This window comes from Homo sapiens, chromosome 13 (assembly GCF_000001405.40).
Source record: "Homo sapiens chromosome 13, GRCh38.p14 Primary Assembly".
Lineage (NCBI taxonomy): Eukaryota > Metazoa > Chordata > Mammalia > Primates > Hominidae > Homo > Homo sapiens.
In genome coordinates, this window is record NC_000013.11 from 23,829,290 (window position 1) to 23,850,166 (window position 20,877).

The following is a 20,877-nucleotide window of genomic DNA, read 5'->3' on the forward strand; positions in this document are numbered from 1 at the left end:
AGATTGCTTGAGGCCAGGAGTTTGAGACCAGCCTGGGAAACACAGTGAAATCCTGTCTCTATAAAAAATATAAAAATTGGCTGGGCATGGTGGCATGCCTGTAAGCCTGGGCGAAAGAGCAAGACTCTGTCTCAAAAAAAGAAAAAAAATATAAAAACTATTAACTATAAAGACAAGATTGATAAATCCAACAATATTAAAAGGAAAGTGAAAACACAAGCCATAAACTGAGACAAGACATATGCCTAAAAAGGATTATTATTTCAACTACCAAGAATTTCTGAAAATCAGTAAGAAAAAGACAAATTTCCAAGTAGGAAAATGAGCATGAGACAAAAAGACATCTGACAGAAAACAAAAACGAAAAATAAGCCAGGTGTAGTGGCACATGACTGTAGTCCCAGCTACTTGGGTGGCTGAGGCAGGAGGACTGCTTGAACCCAGGAGTTTGAGGGGCCAGCCTGGGCAACCTAGCAAGACCTTATTTCTAAACAAGACAAAACAAAACAGAAAATAAATAAATAAAAAACCTTAAAAGTAATCAGAGAACACTGCTGCTAATTAAGACCTTAAAAGTAATCAGAGAACACTGCTGCTAATTAAGACCACAATAGCATTTCATTTTATAATCACAAAATGGGCAAAATTAAAACTTTTGACAAAATTAAAAGTCAATGAGGATGCTGCACGATAGAAACCATTGCTGAGAGGAGTATAAATTAGCAGAAACATTTTGAAAAACAATTTGGCATTATCTCATAAACTTAAAGACATGCACCCCTTACAAATCCAGCAGTTCCAATCTTATACATGGATATACAGAAGAAAGTATAAAAATGTTCACAGCAGTATCACATGAACTAGCAAAAACCTGGAAGAACCTGTGTGCTCCACGTGTGCTCCATGACAGGAGAATGAGTAAATAAATGATGGAATATTATCTGCAATTGAAATAAATACACTGCAGCTACATGCAACACAGATTAATCTTAGGCATAAAATATATATTTTTTAAATAACAGAAGATTATAAGCAGTAAAATACCATTTTTGTAAAGTTCAAAAAACTGAACACCACACTTCTTAGGAATAAATAATGTGGCCAAAAAATGATAAGAATTGAGCACTATGCTTTCCTCTGGGAGGCAAGCGGGGCAGAGATGGGTTCAGAGAAGAGCATGTGGTAATGTTTTACTTCTCAGGTTGGAGAATGGCTTCATAGCTGTTCTTTCTACAAATACTGTGTTATAACATTAAATATTAAATAAAAGAGAAATTCATTACTTGGAGAGGCATCTCTTTCTGCTCTAATCATTTACAAGAAGAATCTCCTGAACTGAAATGAGCCTCCTTAGAATTCCCTTCCACTATTCCTAGTAATATTGTTTTTTCCTAGAATGACTTTCTTCCTTTACATGGTATCCTTCAAATGGTATATGAAAGACTTGAGTTTCATTTTTCTAGTCTAAAAATGTCTTTTCTTAAACCCCTCCTAATGTGAAGTGGCTTCCAATTTTACAAATAAGCAGCAGCCACCCCTCAGGATGGTTTCTAGTTCATCAGCATCACTGTAAAACAGGCCCTCCAAAATTGATCAAACACACTGGGACTGGCAGCCCAGCTCCAGGCAATATGCTGAGGACAAAGGGATATTGTGGGTAAAGATAAGGATAGTGGCAGTTTCTGTAGGGGTGGAGGAGTTAGTTGGAAACTGAGGAATTGAGGACAAAAGGGAACAGAGGCAGCTACTGTGAAGCAGGGGAAAGGGTGGGGCAACCAAGCATCTGGACTACTCAGGGGCTGGGCTAAGTCAATTAGGACACATATATTCACACATCTGGGGAAAATTCAGTCTGAGAAAGTGGGATGGGAACAGAACCTTAGAAATGCAAAGGAAAGGTAAAAGTATCAGACTTTTGCTCATTTTCAGAAATTTACCTAAAACCTGATGTGAAGAAATTGCAAATCTAGGGCACAGACAAATAGATCCTGCCTCCATTAGGAATCAGGATCTGGGGACAGTGAGAGAAAGAAGAGGAAAACTCTGAGTACCCAAATGATCTGGGCGTCGGGGACAGCCTAGCTTCCCCATGGCGGGGGGGGGATGTGGATGGGAATTGCCTTACTGCATTTTGTGTTGCTATAACAGAATATCTGAGACTGGGTAAATTATAAAGAACAGAAGCTTATGTAGCTTACAATTCTGTAGGCTAGGAACTTCAAGACTGGGCAACACATCCGGCAGCTCCTGGTGAGAGCCTTGTGCTGCATCAAAGCATGGCAGAGAAATGGAAGGGGAACCTGATGCATATGTAAAGAGCAAAATACAAGAGGCAACCTCGCTTCATAACAACCTGCTCTCGTGGGAACTGATCTGTTCCCATGAGAACTAATCCATTCCAGAGAGAACCCAGCCTCCAGAGAGAGCTATTACTCCATCTAAAGGACCTAATCACATCTCAAATGCACCACCTACCAATACCACCATGTTGGGGACCAAGTTTTAACATAAGTTTTGGTGGAGCAAACCATATTCTAACCACAGCAGAGGTCAAGGGGCAGGCTATTAGACTGCACGGTGAAGGTGCTTAGCATTTTCAATGCTGGGTATAGGGGTTTAGACTGTCTTCTTTCCTTGAATCTAAGAACCCAATATTTGTAAAGAGCCACTGTGATTTTATGACAGATTTGGGGAGAGAGCACACTATGCCACTGCTATAGCTTGAGTATCTGTCCCCTCCAAAACCCATGTTGAAATTTAAGCCCCAATGGGGCTTAAATACCCCTTCTCCAGGCAGTATTGAGAGATCACTGGGTCATGAGGGCTCTGCCCTCATAAATGGATTAATTCATCCATTGATTATAATGGATTAAGAGATTATCATGGGAGTGGGACTGCTGGCTTTATAAGAAGAGGAAGAGAGACCTGAGCTAGCATGTGAGCACACTCAGTCCCTCGCCATGTGAGGCCCTGAGCCACCTTGGGACTCTGCAGAGTCCCCACCAGTAGGAAGGCGCTCATCAGATACGGCCCCTTGACCTTGGACTTCTCAGCCTCCATAACTGTAAAAAATAGATTCCTTTTCTTTAGAAATTATCCATTTTCAGGTATTCTAAGGAACAGAGAACAGACTAATATAGCTATTAAATATAAATAGGTAAATAACAAGGGGATCCCACTTTCAGAGAATGATCAAAACATTAAAAAAAAGAAAGTTGCATCTTAGAAAGGTTTAGGAAGGACAAGAATCATGCTTCCAGGAGAATGAGGCCACCTATATATAATTCTGTGCTAATTTGGAGCAACGGCGAAGAAGTTACGCGGAAGGTAAAAATCTACAAGCACTGAGAAGAGAAACAATGACCTCTGGGTCCTTAGGCACCACAGCTCCACTAAGGTAGCCTAAAATTGAAGGAGATTTATGGGAAAACCCATCAGACTGTTAATCCATGTTAAGTTTATTATGTCTAAACACCTGAACTGCAGCCAAGTTTGTACTCCTTCTATACCTGTGGTATTGATTTCAAGATTAATTTACAATAAATTCTACTTTGGCTTTGATGTTGTAGCTTGTCAAGACGTTCTGAATCTTGAATGAGCACCTCTGGTATCTGCTATCTCTGACAGCTGCATGACACCTGCAAATCTGATAAGCATACTTCTAATTCTTCCACCACAAGGAATTCTTTGACTATGCTATGATATAGTTCTGATAAAATACCTGTAGGTGTTAATAAGTCACTGATTATCCTCTACCTGAGACCTCTCTGGAATATATTTCATAATGTTAAAAAAATCCTTTCCTGAAAGGCAGCAGGATAGAAAATTAGGCATAAACATGCAACCCTGTTATTTTTTCCTTGTGAGATTAAATGCCATTTATTTACAAAGACTTGGATTTTAGAGAATTAACTTCTTATCCTTAAGGCTAGGACTGCACTTAAGATTTAAAAAAAATAAATAAAATAAAATAAACCTCCTTGGTGCCTTCATTAGTGACAAGAAGAGGCAAGCCCTTGTGAAGCTCAAAGCATTTACATGTCTCTTGCCTTTGGGCACGCTTTCCATTCTCCATGAGAATCACAAAATTTTAGATTCTTTAGAGACTACGTCTGTAAGTCCCTTAAGGGCACTGGATCCATCTTCTGTGTCTGAAACTTGAATTAATTCAAAGCAGCTTAGTGCTTTCTTCCTATCTCATCTATCTTGGATTAGATTTTGGGTTTACTCTTGTTTTCTTGCATCTAGTTCAACAATACATCTTCTTACAGAATAATTTAGTAAGAATACAGGCATTGAGAAGCTCTCTCCTTTTGCACCTTACATCACACTTGGAGCAGTGACTCCAGCCTTTCTTTGCTCCTGGTTGTTCTATAAGTAGATGGCAATTTAAAAAAAATTGACATTTGTATATGTGGTAAATTTCCACTCCAGATTTTACTTTTAAAAAAATGACTACTGTGCAAGGCTCCTGGTCCTCTTGTGTAGTCACCCCCGCGTGTGTGTCCTCCCACGCCCTGTGTTCGCGCCCCTCGCCAGACCCTCTTTCCGCAGCCCTGCACCACGCGCTCTCACTTTGGCAGCGGCCACCTCCGAAACCTCAGACTCCTCAAACTCGCAGAAACCCCTCCTGGCGGCAGTGATGCTCCCCACGTCTCCCACACTAAGTGGCGCCTCCCTTGGCCTGACCCTGCGGAACCCTCGGAAGCAGGATGCCCCTTTGCTGTCCCCTGCCTCCCACCCTGACCCCTTCACCAGCCGTGTACTTGTCTGCGGGTTGCTGGGTCGCCAGAGCTGAGGCCACCCAGCAAGGGTGGGTGGAGAGAGGCCACGCGCCCGGGATGAGGGGAGAGGGGCCGAGCCCCCGGAGCCGGAGCCTGCCTCTCCAGGAAGCCTCTCAGGCTCTATCCGCACCCCCTGCGATCCGCTTCCTCCCTGACACCAGCGTGATTTTCTTGAAGTAAAAATTTGATTCCCGCCTGAAAGCCTTTACTGGCTGCTGCTCCAGCAGCAGAAGACCCAACCCATATGCCCGTGTTTTTCCCTGTGTAACTTCTCCTCAGCCTTTAGCTCCCAGCTCCTGGCCAGGCCTCCCCAGCAGTCTAGAGGTTGCTCCTCCCCTCTCCTGGGCTTTGCCTTCGGGCGGTAACACCCTAGTCAGGCTCTGTCTCAGTTCCCCTAGGAATTAAAGACCGCGGGCAATGGGATGTTGCCTGACTTATTCTTGGCTGTTTCTTGGATGCTGAGAATGCAGACTGGTAAATATTAAAACTCAGCAAGTGTTTTCTGACTGAAGGGCCTCTCTGTCCTATGTCCTCAATAAATGTATTTTGGTGGAACAGATGAATACCGCTGAGAGCTGACTGGCGAATGCCGCTTCTCTTTTTCCCAGACCTCCTTCCTCCTGCACTTCTCCTCCCCAGCCTCCCCAGTTCCCCCAGGGCCCTCGTGGCCCTGCCTGTGCACAGGGCTCTAAGCACCTCAGGCAGGGAGCAATCACTGAACTACTAATCATTCCCAGTTCCCAAAATACACAGCCATAGATGGATTATGCTATCACGTGGTAGGGTATGCCTCTCTATGTTATTGGCCAAGTCTACATAATTCCCAGAACAATTCTTTGTAGATTAATGGATGGGTAGTTAATTGGATCACAAATCTGCCACCGTAATAACTGAAATATATTATGTTGAAGAGTCACTCAGATTACTTATCCAGAATATCATCCATTATTCTTTTTTTTTTTTTTTTTTAACAGTCTCACTCTGTTGCCCAGACTGGAGTGCAGTGGCGCAATGTCGGCTCACTGCAACCTCTGCCTCCCAGGTTCAAGTGATTCTCCTGCCTCAGCCTCCTGAGTAGCTGTGACTACAGGCATGTGCCACTGCGCCTGGCTAACTTTTGTATTTTTAGTAGACACGGGGTTTCACAATGTAGCCCAGGCTGGTCTCGAACTCCCAAGCTCAGGTGATCCACCTGCCTCAGCCTCCCAAAGTGCTGGGATTACAGGCATGAGCCACTGTGCCAGCCAGAAGATCAGATTATTCTACAGATAAAATCAAGTCCAAAAAAAAAAATGACCAAATAATATTACACATCTGGAGACATAATGAGAAGAAGAGTCACAAATAAAGGTGGTTAAGGTCCTTCTGTTTCTAATTCTATTCGTCCCCTCATTTAATTTCTTTCAGTGCTTTTTTTTGATTCTAGGTGCTAAGTATTCACAGATGAATACAATTTACATTTGTACCGGGAGTACATACAGTCTGAGGGGGAAAAACATCACCTCACGTAATACGGTTCTAGTATAATCAGAATTGGAGGGAAGGGAAAGAACGCATCTTCCAATGTACACATGGACAGTAAACAGCACAATGTTGACAACTTACAGCTAGCTTAGTGTAAGGTACCTCACATTTTAATTTAAAAATCTTTAATATTAGAATGCATCATTGAAATTTAAGCCTTAAAATTAAGGACTTTTCAGACTAAACATCACAGAGATGCTAAGCATACTGGCAAAATATGGCACTGGATTCAGTTTAATGAGACAACATAAAAATTCAGACCAAGAGAATAAATATTCAGAAGCAAAGGCTTTTTAGAAGTGAGACAGGCTCGAATGCCTATTCTACTACAGAACTTGTTTCTTCATCTGGAAAATGGGGATAAAGTGTCTTCCTTATGGGGAGGTTATGAGGACTAAATGGTAGATTACCAGGCATGTAATAAAGGGTAGCTATTTTTCAACACATGACTATATGCTAGGACTATGATTTAATAGACTGGCAAAAGAAAAGATAGGGAATCAGGAAAAAAAGAAGCAATAAAAGGTTTGTTACTAACAGAGGGTGAGTTCTGAAAAGCAAGAAGAGTTCAATTTATCCAGGATGTCATAAACGCCAACTATCACAACCCAAAGGACAAGACGACAATATTACTGTTCCTACCTGTCCAGTCTGATAATGTCTGGCAAATTGGTTAACTACTCGATAATCATTTGCAAAGTACTCCATCAGAATAGAAGGAACCTCAGCAAAATCAGTAGGGCACCTGGTCCCTAAAACAAGAAAAAAAAAAAAGTTGGCATGAATCAAATCAATATATTTATCTACTTTTTGTGTGCCCTTTAAAACTTTTATTTGTACTTCTGATGAACTGTAAGTTTTAATTCATTAAATCAATATTTTTCTTCTATAAATTTATTGTACATATTTGCAGAAAAGTTTATTATAATCCTATATATTTTCCTTTATATCAAAATTAAAACAAAATATTTGCACAGCTGCTAAAACACCTTATAAAGCCATGGCTCACACCTTTTGCAAACAAACCTGTCTTCAGCTATGCTGGCTATACATGAAACAGATTAAAACATTTCTAATATTAATATAGCGTTTGTATTTAATTCACTAAATTCCATTACCTAATACTTTTATCCTTCCTTTGTTTTACAAGTACTTTATTTTATCCATTTATTGCTTTTTGTAACAAAGTCAATTCTCAGTGAGGAAAAGAAATATTTTAAACTCAAAATTACTTAAAGTAACAAATCCTGTAAGAAATTTAGATGACATTTAACGATTGTGTTCAGCCCACCTACAGTCTTTTCAATACCTTCTCCTTGTCCAAAATACTGTGTGTAAAGTTAGTTAACAAATGCTGGATGCCAACAATTCACTAGTGGTCTAATGCTGACCATATGTGATAGGGAGCTTAAGACTTAAGGATAAGACAATGAAGAAGGAAGTCTGTAATATCACAAAATATAGCCACATAGCAGCATAAAAACTACAAAGCAGAACTATGATTTTATACAGGGGAAAGTATATGAAAAATTAAAAGGACTTCATCATACTTTTTAAGCATGCTTTATTTTCTTCTCTGATTTTGAATATAAAGAGAGACCATTCATTCACTTACTTATTAACTCTGTGGGAGGTATTAAGGAGATACGTTTTTATTCACACACACATAGCCACAAACTTAAATTCAATATAAAACACTGTAAAATGTAAAAAGGGACAAACTTGAAAGACAACTGAGATTATTCCCTGGTGAAAGCTGTTAGCAAGCATGGAAAAAAGCATGGAAGATCAGGCTGCACAACCATGGGGAGGGCAGGATGAGGCAATCTGAGATAAAGACCACAGGACACGGTAAAATGATCACATTTTCCAAATAAAAAGCCCCTTTCCCAATTCAAAGAAAATGTATGTTTGTAAAGGACTGTAGTAAATAAAAGCCCTCCTCATGGCTCACCAGTGACGTGTTGGTAACGAGTACGTCCTAGCATTGAATGCATGGCATGTCCCATTTCATGGAAAAGATTTTCCATCATGCTAGGAGTTAGCAAAGTTGGAGAACTCCTTGAGGAACGGGGAAGATTCAGCATAAGAACTACAACTGGGAGTTGATAGTCTCCATCTTCCTTTAGTCTGCCTCCACGGATAGTGAAATGGCAATCCTTTAAGAATCAGAAAACATAAAAGGAAAAGAAAGTATTTGGTAATGTGAAGAGTAAAACAGTCTTAATGAATATAAAATTTCACCAAAAATGTGTGAGTGCAAACTTTAACTTAATTATATTCTTATTCTATCTATTTACATATATACACCTTTTCTTGACATTTTTTATTCTGCTAAAATTTTAATTTTTTAAAACATCAAGAACACATTCAGTTTCTATGGATTAACTCATTACTTTGGTCCCAAAACATGCATTGAAATGATGCTGTGCCAGAAGCTGGAAACAAAGTCAGCAAAGAACTTACGAAGGGACACTAACATTTATTCTGAGTCCCTACTATGTGTCAGATAATGAACTAGTAGGTACTTTCCATGTCTCTTGGCTATTTTTTTTTCTTTTTTTAAGATAGGGTCTTGCTCTGTTGCCCAGGCTGGAGTGCAGTGTTGTGATCGCAGTTCACTGCAGCCTGGACCTCCTGGGCTCAAGCCATCCTCCTGCTTTGGCCTACTGATTGGCTGGGACTACAGGTGTGCTCCACCACACCCAGCTAAATTTTTAGATTTTTTTTTGTACAGATGGAGTCTTACTATGTTGCCAGGGCTGGTCTTGAACTCCTGGACTGAAGTGATCTGCCAGCCTCAGCCTCCTAAAGTTCTGGGATTACAGGCATGAGCCACCGCGCCCAGCCTCTCTTGACTTTTATCACTTGAACGAGATGGGATCTAAACTAGTGTAAAGCAAGGGATCCGGAGCCAGAATAACTTACTCTGAAACAGGCACTACACTGAGACTCACATACACTGTATCACTTATTCTCCACAACAACCCTATGTAGCAGGTATCTCACTTTTCAGATGATAAAACTAAAACTAGTCTTAGGATTATTAAATAACATGTCCAAGGACACCTAGCTAGAACTGCCACACCTTGGATCTGAACCCAGGCTGACTATTAGGAGCCAGGGCTCCTAATCACTAAAGTTGAGTCTCCACCACCCACCCATTTAAGCAAAGAGGAAGAACACTGGCCTCAGAGTCTGGTGACCTGCACCCTGTTCCTACCTTTCACACCTACTAGACAAATCATCTCGGAAAATAATTTGCTTCTGCAAGCCTCATCTCTAAAATGCTTCCTTGTCAAATCCCACAGTGGCTGTCCAGAATTCATAAGCTCACATCTGTTAAAATCTGTGCTTTGGAAATTGTGAATCACTATTCAAACATAAGGTACATTATTTCTGTTATAACTTATAACCTAAACTCTTGACATTTCCCATCAAGCTACATGAAACTGCTAAAGCTGACTGGCTGTCAAAGTCGGCCAATGCTAAAGAAAAGGAGATGAGCTGCCTCAAGTCTTCCACATAAGGAGCTACTTGGTGGTTGGTAAGGTTTCCACATGGAGTATCTTCCGCAGTTTTAGAATAGGTTCATTGTCGAGTATGGAAAAGAGTTAAAAGTTGGGGATCTGCTCAGGATGTATGCCTTCAAGTCCTAGCACTTCTGGCCAAGTAGCTTAACCTCTATGGCTTCAGTTTCCTCATAATGTGAGTAACTAGTCAAAAGGGTGAGGCGAACATTAAAAGGCTGATGTGTATAACGGGCTCAGTGCACTGTTTGGCACAAATAAGGATTCATAAAATGTCAGTTGTCATTGTTACTATAATTAATACCATGACCCAGATAAAAGTGACAAATATAGACTGATGTAATTATTTCCATAAACTTTTTAATTTTAAAATTCTATCTTAATTTCAAATGTATATATTTGGTAACCATCATTAGTAACTTTTAAATGTCATGGAATTTAAAAAATGATACAAAGTTCACATCAATACAAATGAAATGCCGATCGGTTCTAGAGAGACCAGTTTATAAAGAAAGGATCACCTGATGTGGTTTGTCTGCTCGCTGAAAAAAATCACAGTAAATGTACCCCAACAATCCTTCAGATTCATGAACAACAGCCTAGAAAAAAAAATTTAAATTTGGTGGTAAATGAGGCCATCTGATTCTCTAAAATCCCTAACACAAGAATCTGTATATTAAACATCCATAGCCACACATATAGACATTTTAATTACATTCTACACCCCACATTATCTCGAGATAGATTCTCTTTTCCCCGCATCCTCTTCTGCTCCATCTCTTGAATGATTTTGGTTTTGGAATTCTGTGTCCAGGACAGGAAATCCTCCTCATGAGGGCCTTTTGTCCTGACTGCCTATCCTCTACAATACCTTTACTAACCACCCACAAGAGCTGGGAAGAAGTGCTGGCTGGACAATTTTAGGAGCAAATTATTTTTCCTTCAAATCCTGGAATGTCGTGATATACGCCCAAGCAAATTATAACCCTTGAATTTGAAAACACCACAATGCAGCTCCCAGCTTGAGTTAAAAATCAGCAATATTACTATCTATCCCCTCTCCAAGAGACATAGCTTATAGGAGAGACTCAATCACTACTCTCCATCTTGCCTTCTTTGTTCTTTCAGAATTTAATGATTCCATCAAAGAGAACCCCGATTTTGTGCTTTAAAACTACCTGCAAGTATATATTTATTGTTCATCAAACATCTGTTAAGCACCTACTTGGTGCCAGGAACTCTTCAAGACACTGAGGATACAGAAGTGAATGCAACTGACAACAGTGCTGGACCCCGGTGGAGTGCACATTCTGCAGTTCTGGGGAAACCCTTCATCACCCGCATTTTGTCCTCTCAGTCTCCTCTTATAAATTTTTCTTTTTATTATATCTCAGCATTTTATCAATCTCTATCTTTTTTGGAAGTTTGTAATACAGATAGTGAAGTAAATCAATGCAGTGATGAACGTCCTCCCACCCTGACTCTCCTTTCAATCCCACCACCACACCTACTCTCCACTCACAAGACGTGGCCGAGAGACAATGAGACTGTTTACATTTCTTAAAATATAGTGAAGAAAGCAGTGTGGTAAGCATGCTAGCAAAAATCAAACAACAAAACAATACAAAGCCTTAGTGACACACACAGGTCAACAAAGCCTCAAATCCTATGAGGAAAAATTTAAAATATTCATGCCTCATATAAAGTGGGCCTTCACAGGAGAAAGATGATTGCTAGGTTTGAAGTTATTATCAAAGAAGTTAAATAAATCAGAACACGGACGTAAATTAATATCTGATGCAAATATAAGCCCCTACAACATGGGATGGGGGTTGGAGAGAAAAAAGGTCACTTATCCAATGGATTTGGGAATTAACCAAAACGGACACACAGCTATGAAGGTATATACAAAGTAAAGGACAATTTTCCTATAAATAGAATTTGTGGATATATGAAGGTGCATATATATTCAACCTTCTATCAAGTTCCAAAAAACTTTTTTAGAAAACTCTGCTGTTTTATGTTTGGATCCTTTATACAGTGTCTTAAATCAGAAGTGCAATTTGGATTTTTTTTGTGAAGCAGAAATAAGGCAGGGGACACACTCAGTCAGGGCAAAGTTGATGTAAACCTGAAACTGCTGTTGACTCAACTGCCCAACCGAAAGGTAAATGCCTGCAACTGCAGGCTGAGCAGGAGGAGCTCACCAGTTTTCGGACATCTTCGCTCCACACCTCTCCTTTTGCAGGCTGCTCTGCATATAATGAAATCCCCAACAGTCTGTTAAGCAAAATATTCAGGCCTTCCATGCATGCTCCAAGAGAGAAAAACGGGCAATATAGGCTGGGCTCAATATTATACCTAAGAGAAGGAAGAGAGGTTCAACAGCATCTTTGTTTATTTCAATTTCTGAAGGTAAATTCAATTAACTTTTCATTTAATACTTAAGATCACTGGAGCTAAAGAAGGATTCAAAACATAAAAGTGTATTTATATCATTTGAGGGGTTTTCAGACAGTTTTCTTCAGAATGACAGTCTGATTATTACTAGTGTTAGTTATAAGTCAGTAATTAAGGTAGATATATCATTCCCTAACCTTTGTCCCTTCCCTGTTATTTACTCTTTCACTAACCCAATTAAGCAGTCTCAACTGCTCACTGTATACATTCCTTATACATACTTACATGCAAAATATGATCAGTTTCAGTTATAATGGTAACTCTTACCTTATGAATTATATTCTAGAAACTTGTGACCTATATACATAAATATTAAATGAATAAAAATCCTGAGGCACATTAAGTGAATTTAAAGTTCTCATCCAGTAAAATATTCATTTATGAAAAAAATGCCTGCAATATAAATAATCAGATCTTATCTGTTTTATAGTTAGATATCTTAAATTAAAGACAACGTAACTAGTAAGGTGAATTATTCTTCACCCAAAAATAACTTTTTCTGTTCTATATATTCCAATATAAACCAAAGCAAATCCAAAATACGTGATTTGAATGTTTACATTTGAATCATTAAGTCAAGCCAAAATATATAGCCATAGCCAAAAATAATGGCTCTAGAATATTGTAGGTTCTCATTATATGTCTACTTTTTAGGATTACCAAAATACACATTTTTTTTTCAATTGGCTTTATTTGTGATTCTAGAACTGCACAACACTTCGTTCCATAAAATGAGTCCCCACAACAAATTTATATATAAAAATATAAAAACATAGTTACTAATAAATGAATGAGTTTAGTAAGTGAACATAAATTGCACAACAAATGAGACTTTGGCTATGGACATCCACAAATTTACACCTTAATTTCTGACTGATTTTTCTTTAAACAGAATCCTAGTGTTGAAAGAGACGTTCATGATCCAGTGCCCTCGCTCCCTGGTTCGTTCACTCAAGCATGCTGTCAGCAAACCTGCGGGGTGCTGGAAGAGAAGAATGAAGAGCCTTTGTGTCTAAGCAGCTGGCACTGAAAGAGGCAGAGAAGTGAACCAACTACACTGTGTCCTGGGCCTGGTGCAGTGGGCACACGGCTGGCGCTCAACAGACAGTGCTGAAGCATGAACGAATGAGCACTGCAAAATGGGAGGGCAAAGGAGAGCATGATGACTTTACTTGTGGAGTGCAGAGTAGCACCAGGGAAAGCTTCTCGGATAGGAATCAAGAAAGAATCGGCCGGGTGCTGTGGCTCACGCCTATAATCCCAGCACTTTGGGAGGCTGAGGTGGGTGGATCATGAGGTCAGGAGTTCAAGACCAGTTTGGCCAACATGGTGAAACCCCGTCTCTACTAAAAGTACAAAAATTAGCCGGGTGTGGTGGCGGGTGCCTGTAATCCCAGCTACTCGGGAGGCTGAGGCAGAGAATTGCTTGAACCCAGGAGGCGGAGGTTGAGTGAGCCACGATTGTGCCACTGCACTCCAGCCTGGGCGACAGAGCAAGACTCTCCATCTCAAAAAAAAAAAAAAAAAAAAAAGGAATCAGACTTTGCAAGGCAGGGCTGGGATGAGGAATGGAAAATGGGAATCATAATAGGAATTCTAGGCAGAAGCGACAGTATAACTAAAGTATGATGGCATAAAATAGCCTGGTAACTTCTAGAAAGGATGTGGTTAAAGATGAAGCAGTTACCAATGCAGGGATAAATGTAGAAAGAATGGGAGCGGAGTCTGGAAAAGGCAGGCAGGGGCCAGAAAACAGAGGGCCTGGTCCACTAAGCTGAGGAACTGGGACCATGCACCATAGGCCATGGCCTCTAAGCTTCCTCACCAATGCACACTAAAATAACTTTTGAGTATTCAACCTTCTATTAGTACACTCATAAAGTATATGCATGTGGTATTGTTTTATCACATTGCAAAAAGAAAAGCAGACATTTTTATAAGTTGAGATAAAGAAAAATAAATATACATAGAATTTCTAATATTTTATGACTACACTCTCAATGAATTGCTTACAGATGCCATTTGGGAGACAGCTTCTGTAGGCCATAGGGGAGCATCTGATGTTTTCTGGAATGCTGCACAGTGGACAGCATGGAGGGTGGAATGCAGGAGGCAGGGAGGGCTGACAGGAGGACAGACTTCCAGGCTTCAGAGGGTGAACTCTGACAGAGGGCAGTGGGGTCAGGGATGAATGTGTTTTTCCTTTGAGATGCAAACGTCTCAGGACTGTGTGAGTGATTGGATTTGGAGGGTGATGAGAAAGACAGAACAATCTAGAATAACACTCAGGTTTCTGGCTTGGACAAATAAGTGGATGGTAGAGTCACTGAATCAGCCGGCACAATGAACACAAAAAAGGAAGAGGGGAATCTGGGTGTGTTTGTGGGAGAAGAGAGGAGGGTGAGGTGCAATGATGGGAGGAGGATGGAGGGCTCACAGAAAATAAACTCCATTTTGGAGGAACCGACTGTGAAGTGCCCATGAGATACCAGACACTCAGGACCCAAAGCTAAGGAGAACAAGGAGACTTCACTGTACAGATATTAGAGCCATAGAGGGAGACAGGGCCATTAGGGAAGGGCGATGCGGGCAGAGAAGGTAAAGGGCAGACCCCTGAACTACCAGAGGGAGGGGTGGGAAGGAAGACACAGAACAGTTCAGAGGTACTGAAGAACTGAGAGAAAGGAGTGCATGGAAAGAGGGGAGAAAATAAACTATAAAAGGAAGTGGTCCAGGCTTGAGGTTTCCACTCCTGCACATGAGGAGGTTGAAAGTCACCACTCCATCCTAACAAGCAGGAAGCTGAACAAGCTGAAAATCAAGAATCTTCTTAGATTCAGCAGAGAATCAAGGCCACAGAGCAAACTGCTGCCCCCAAAACTGGAAAGAAAGGCAGGCAGCCATAGAGAATCACAGCTTACCAGAGCAGAAACCTCCCATAGAACCTACTACCAAGGCAAGAAAGTTTAAACTATAATTGGTTATAAAAAGCAATTCATTTTTTTGTTTCCAGACAATAAAAACACAAAAATAAAGGAGAATAAAAAGAAACTTTACATATTAAAATTCTACCCTTCTTAAGATTATAATGAACATTTATTTTTATGGAAAAGAAACACAGTAAAGCTAGTAACACAGCTTATTTTACTAAACTATAACCTAAAAATATTTACTGTCTTATCCAATGACCATGACAATCATTATGTGTTGGGCAAAATTCAAGGAAACAATTTATCTTGGAAAAAAAATTTAAGTATAGAATATAAGTTCATATAATATTACAATATTACCCTAAAATGATTGGGAACAAATGAATTTCTAAACTGCCTGTTTTAAAATAAAAACACCTCAAAAATATTAACAATGGGCAAAAAGTATACTGTCTTGTCCCCTGGCTCACTATGCCCACCCCCAGAGGTAAATATCTTGTGTATCCTTCCAGGCATTTCCTATGCACACTCTTAGAAGCTTATGCATGTAAACTTTATGTATATATAAACCTACTTTGGCACAAATAGAATCATACCATTCACACTATCTCGCAATTTTATTTAACATAAAAATATATCAATGATATGTATTTTTACACATATATTTTTCATAAAAATATAACTTGGAATACTTTCCAGTTTAGTATATAAAGCTCTAGCCTGTTTTCTTTCATGGGTGTAGTCATCCACAGCAAACACATGACAAAGCTCATTTCATGCATCTCCTGTTGTGTTGTACATGAGCAGAGGAGGCAAGGTCAATGAGAGCCTGAAGCATCAATGGGGGAAGCATCCGACCACTGACATCGTTTGGAATTTCCCACATATGGGGATATTAAAGGAACCCAGACTTTTCATCAGTTTTATTATTGATTTTAACTTTTTTACAGAAAATGCATCCCGTTAGGCCACACCCAGAGCTCACTTCCCTGCCTTGGTCTGCCTCTGTTCCTTTTAACTGACGGTAAGCTGCTGTTAGTTTATCTGTTAAAGTGATGCCATAGTGAAATGTCCTTGTCACACCCACACAAGCCTATCCATAAGATAAACTGAAGAAATGGCATTGCTGCAAAGAGTACAAGATCTTAAGTTTTTTGATATGTATTTCCAAATTATCCTCTAAAAAAAGCTGTTTCTAACTTACATTCCTACCTGCAGTGTATGAAAATACCTAGTGCTCTCACTCTCGCCAATGTAATTCTGTTACGTTTCTTTTAATGCTTCCTTTATTTTCCTTCTTTAGCTATGTGTGCTGCATTTCCTTTTTCTTTCTAATAATTTGATATATTAGTGATATTTATAGTCTATATTTTAGCTTCTCTGGTGGTTTCTCTATTGTTTTTAATTTTTTTTTTTTTTGAGACGGAGTCATGCTCTATCACCCAGGCGTGCAGTGGCATGATCTCAGCTCACTGCAACCTCCACCTGCTGGGTTCAAGCGATTCTCCTGCCTCCTAATTTTGATACTTTTGGTAGATACGGGCCTCTATTGGTTTTAAAATAAACATTTATTTATTGGTTTAGCAATTTTAGATAATATTTACTGATTCCCCTCCTCCTGCCTTGACCTCCTGATCTGTCTTGTTGTTACATATAGATATAGATATATTGATGCTCTTTTTCTTAATTTTGCTAGGCACCAGAGAGGAGAAGAATAGAGATATGCCCTTTATTTTGCCAACATTTACTGGATCTCCCCAGAATGCATACAATGGGGGAATAGCTGCTATTAGTAGTAAGGAAGAAGAGGAGAGACATGACAAAATCCTGTGCTTTAGAAAGATTATTCTGGCAGTGACATGTAGGTCAGTTTAAAATGCAAAGATTCATGATTATTATAGCAAGAGGAAGTTCAATATAGTTTGTGTATCCCTTATCCAAAATGCTTGGGATATGTTTTGGATTTTGGATTTTTTTTTCTATTTTGGAAAATTTGCATATACATAATGAGATATCTTGGGGATGTGACCTATGTCTAAACACGAAATTTATTTGTTTCATATACACCTTATATACATAGCTTGAAGGTAATTTTACAGAATAGTTTAAATAATTTTGTGCATGAAACAAAATTTTAACTGTATTTTCACGACAATCTGTCACATGAGATCCACTTGTGGTGTCATGTTGGCACTCAAAAAGTTTTGGATTTTGAAGCATTTCAGATTAGAAATGCTTGACCTGTATTGCAAATATGTTGCCCATTTTTCCCTAAATTTAATCTACAAACAGAAAACTATCACTACCAAATGATGATGATGATGATGATGATGATGGTAACTAACATTTGGTGAGTACTCACTATGACAGTGGGCTAAGCCCTTTATACATATCTCATTTAACAGCAAAAACGATCCTTTAAGGTAATACTATCACCCTATGTTACAATGGAGAAAACAGGTTTACAAGACAGTAAGTAACCTTCCCAAGGCTACGACAACAACTAAGTAGAAGGCCTGAGACCATCCTTTATAACTGCATGATAACAGCATGGAAGTTGAAAAAAAATCAACAGGAGGGCACATCTTTGTTTAGGCTGAGGTACTGAAGTTTTTCACAAATATCTGTTACAAGTTAAAGCAAGTACTAAAGGAAGCACAGTAATTGTATCATTCATTCTTACACACATTTCCCAAAATGCTTTCAAGAGTGAGGAGCTACTGGTCACAATGAGAACACTACATCCCTGCATTGACTCCTACGGCAGCCTAACAGTGAACAAAGATTGAGAACGATCAATTTAGAGAAGTAAAAAGAGAAATGAGTGTGGTGATAAAAAAGGAGAGAACAGGAAGTCTGAGGGTATGTGTTGAAGAAAGAATTTTAAGAAACTGGACATGGTAAGCGCCGTCAAAAACTGCAGACATTAGGATCTCAAATCCAAGCTAAAAAAAAAAAAAAAACCCAAACAGAAAACTACAGACATCACGGATGTTGAGCAGTAAAACAAATTACTGAATTTCATGCTGGCAGGTGGCTGATAACCTGGAAACACTAGCTGGGTAGACTGACAGGCCTATAAACCAGACTGTAGCTATTAGAAAGAGGAGGCATCAGGAGAGAGTAGGACTGGGGGAAGTTCGGCAGGAAAAAAATGAGATAGTACCACAGTCTCTCCAACTGTCACAGAAGGGTAATTATTTGTGTTGTAAGATAAGAGATATCTTAGCAGGTCTGCAGGCAAAGGGTTTGAAGCTAATACAAAGGAAGAGATGGTGATTGTGATAAAGTTAGAATAACTGGTGAAGCAAGATCTATAGTGGTTTGAGATAATATTATCTTATATTGTCTTGGTGCTTCACAATTTACAAAGCACTTTCACATCAAGAATCAAGAATCTCCTTATTCCTTACATGATTCTGTGAGACAGGTGGAGCAAGAATTATTACCAGAATTATTGTTCGTTTTACTTGAGGAATCTCAGGCTCAAAGAGGCTTGTGACAGTCTAAGGCAATCTGGAATACAAGAAAGAGCCCTGGGTTTGAAAATACTATTTCTCATTGGTTCCATGCTTTGAGCAAGTTACTTAGGTTTCTGAAGCTTCAGTTTCCTCACCAGTAAAGTAGAAATACTTTCCAGGCTCCATTAACAATTACAGAAACACATGCAATGAACCTGGCATGGTTCCTGGAGAAAAGCAGGCACACTGTAAATTATAGCCACTATTATTGCTGTTAGACAGAGACACGGACAGGGACAAGACTAAACCCAGCGGTTTCTACTTCTATTCCAGTTCCCTTCTTCTACTCCTATTCCAGTTCCCTTCTATTCCCCAAAGCTGACCTTACCTCTAAAAAGAAATGCAACACTGTGTCAAGAAGCTGTGTAGATGCAGTAAACTTTCATTAATCACCTGCCATGTGCCTGCATGACAACTCCTCAGTGTGGAAAGATGAACACATTGTAACAATAATGACGACCAATCCAAATGATCAGGGGCAGAGGAGCACTGCAAACAAGGCATTGGCTCAAAGATGAGGCTGTGGTCAGTTACACCTGGCAGAGGGGAGAAGCTGGGAATGGGAGGAACAGAGAGAACTACAAAGAAGAGGCAGCATCTGGAGCACACCTGGAAAGATGAGGCTCCTAGAAGAGGGGGAGGGCACTCAAAGGGGAAGAAAGAGGGCAGCAAAGGCCCAAGGGGATTCAAGCAAATGGGGCAGACAAGCTCAAGCAAGCACTAGTGCCTTAGTCCTCACTCAGCTGCCTCAGCCATCCAGAGCGAGACTACATGCCTCTCCACACCCTCAGTGACTCTCACCAAATGCAGGCTACTTCCTTCCTGAAGAAAAGCCAGAAGGAGAGAGGTCCAGAGAGGGTGGAAGAGATTCAAAAAGCTACAGGGTGTTTCCCGCAGCTCCAACCCACATCTGAGGGGCCCCAAGGAGCAGTCCCACATGACCAGCCAGTCAGGAGGGCGTGACTGCTGTGCTCTCAGCTCACGTCTTCAACACGGAGTGAAAAAACATGCACAGAGGGTGTTTGGGTGGTCACAGGCCCCAGTACAGCCCTCCACGCCAGGCTCATCATGTGGCTCCGCCTGCCTCCACAGAGCACTCCGAGGCTGAGGCCGACCTGTGAACAACCAACTGCACCATCTCCATCCACAGCTTCCTTATCTGCATAGATGCTACACATAAGAACATTTTCCTCTCTCATCTAGAGACCCAAGACAGTGGGAAAGCACCATGGGCAGCATATAGGACCTCACAGCACAGCAGAGCCACAACCAGCAGAGACAGAGCTTAGATGCATTTTGAGGATTTGGCTTCAGTGCCATCCCTGTCACCACCTCAGACTCTTCTACAGTTTTACAAGAATTTTATGACTATTTTTTGTAAAGAATTCCATGGATCTGGACCCAGAAGTAAGGGATCTCTAGAACCCTTTGATTCCTCTGAAGAAAGAAAGTGGAAGAAAATTGTGTTATCCACTACAGGTGACTGAATAAGTCCAATAAACACTCTGCTATTCTGGTTTATAATACGTTACATATGAGTTTACAGATTTTCAGCAAAGAACCAGAACATACCACTATCAACATGATACAATGGTATAATTAGGTCTTTTAAATTAAGAACAATAGAATTTAGTAATGTATCAAAATCTTCATCTAATCTTCATCCAACACTAATTATGATTGAAATGAGCACAGAAATATCAGTCAAGAAGAGACTTTCAACTGAAGAATTCATCATTGTAAACTGAATTTTAAAAAAGTCAATGGATCACTGTATTTATGAAGCACACTCTATGAGTCAGACTTATATTTCAACCTCTGACGCACCTGGAATTAAGGTAAAGAAAGAACTTGGATATTACGTCCAAACACCATGGCCTCAAACTTAGTGAAAATATAAAACACAATCAAGTACAGTCAGAGAATCCAGGTTGAAACACAGGTAAACACAGCTTCAGTCTCACCTTATTCTATTCAGTGAGTGAGAGCAAATGTGACAGAGAACATGTGCACCAAATGGCAAATGCCCACAGAGGCTTGTTACAGAATGAACAAGATGGCCTGCCGGAGGGCACGTGTGGGCGAGGAAAAAATGGACACCTGTAAAGGACACAGCACGTGACAGTAC

The 20,877-nt window shown here is 40.0% G+C and overlaps 1 protein-coding gene across 4 annotated transcripts in view; it reads right to left on the bottom strand.

Moving 5' to 3' along the window:
- The window catches only part of MIPEP (mitochondrial intermediate peptidase), a 159,212-nt gene that overhangs the window by 99,101 nt on the left and 39,234 nt on the right, over nucleotides 1–20,877 (bottom strand). For all 4 annotated transcript variants that reach the window (NM_005932.4, XM_011535097.3, XM_011535098.4 and 1 more), the window contains exons 11-14: nucleotides 12,046–12,199; nucleotides 10,360–10,437; nucleotides 8,263–8,467; nucleotides 6,951–7,060 (exon numbers count right to left, since the gene is read on the bottom strand). In NM_005932.4, coding sequence (NP_005923.3) covers nucleotides 6,951–7,060; nucleotides 8,263–8,467; nucleotides 10,360–10,437; nucleotides 12,046–12,199 — 547 coding nt within the window. The remainder of the gene's footprint in view (nucleotides 1–6,950; nucleotides 7,061–8,262; nucleotides 8,468–10,359; nucleotides 10,438–12,045; nucleotides 12,200–20,877) is intronic.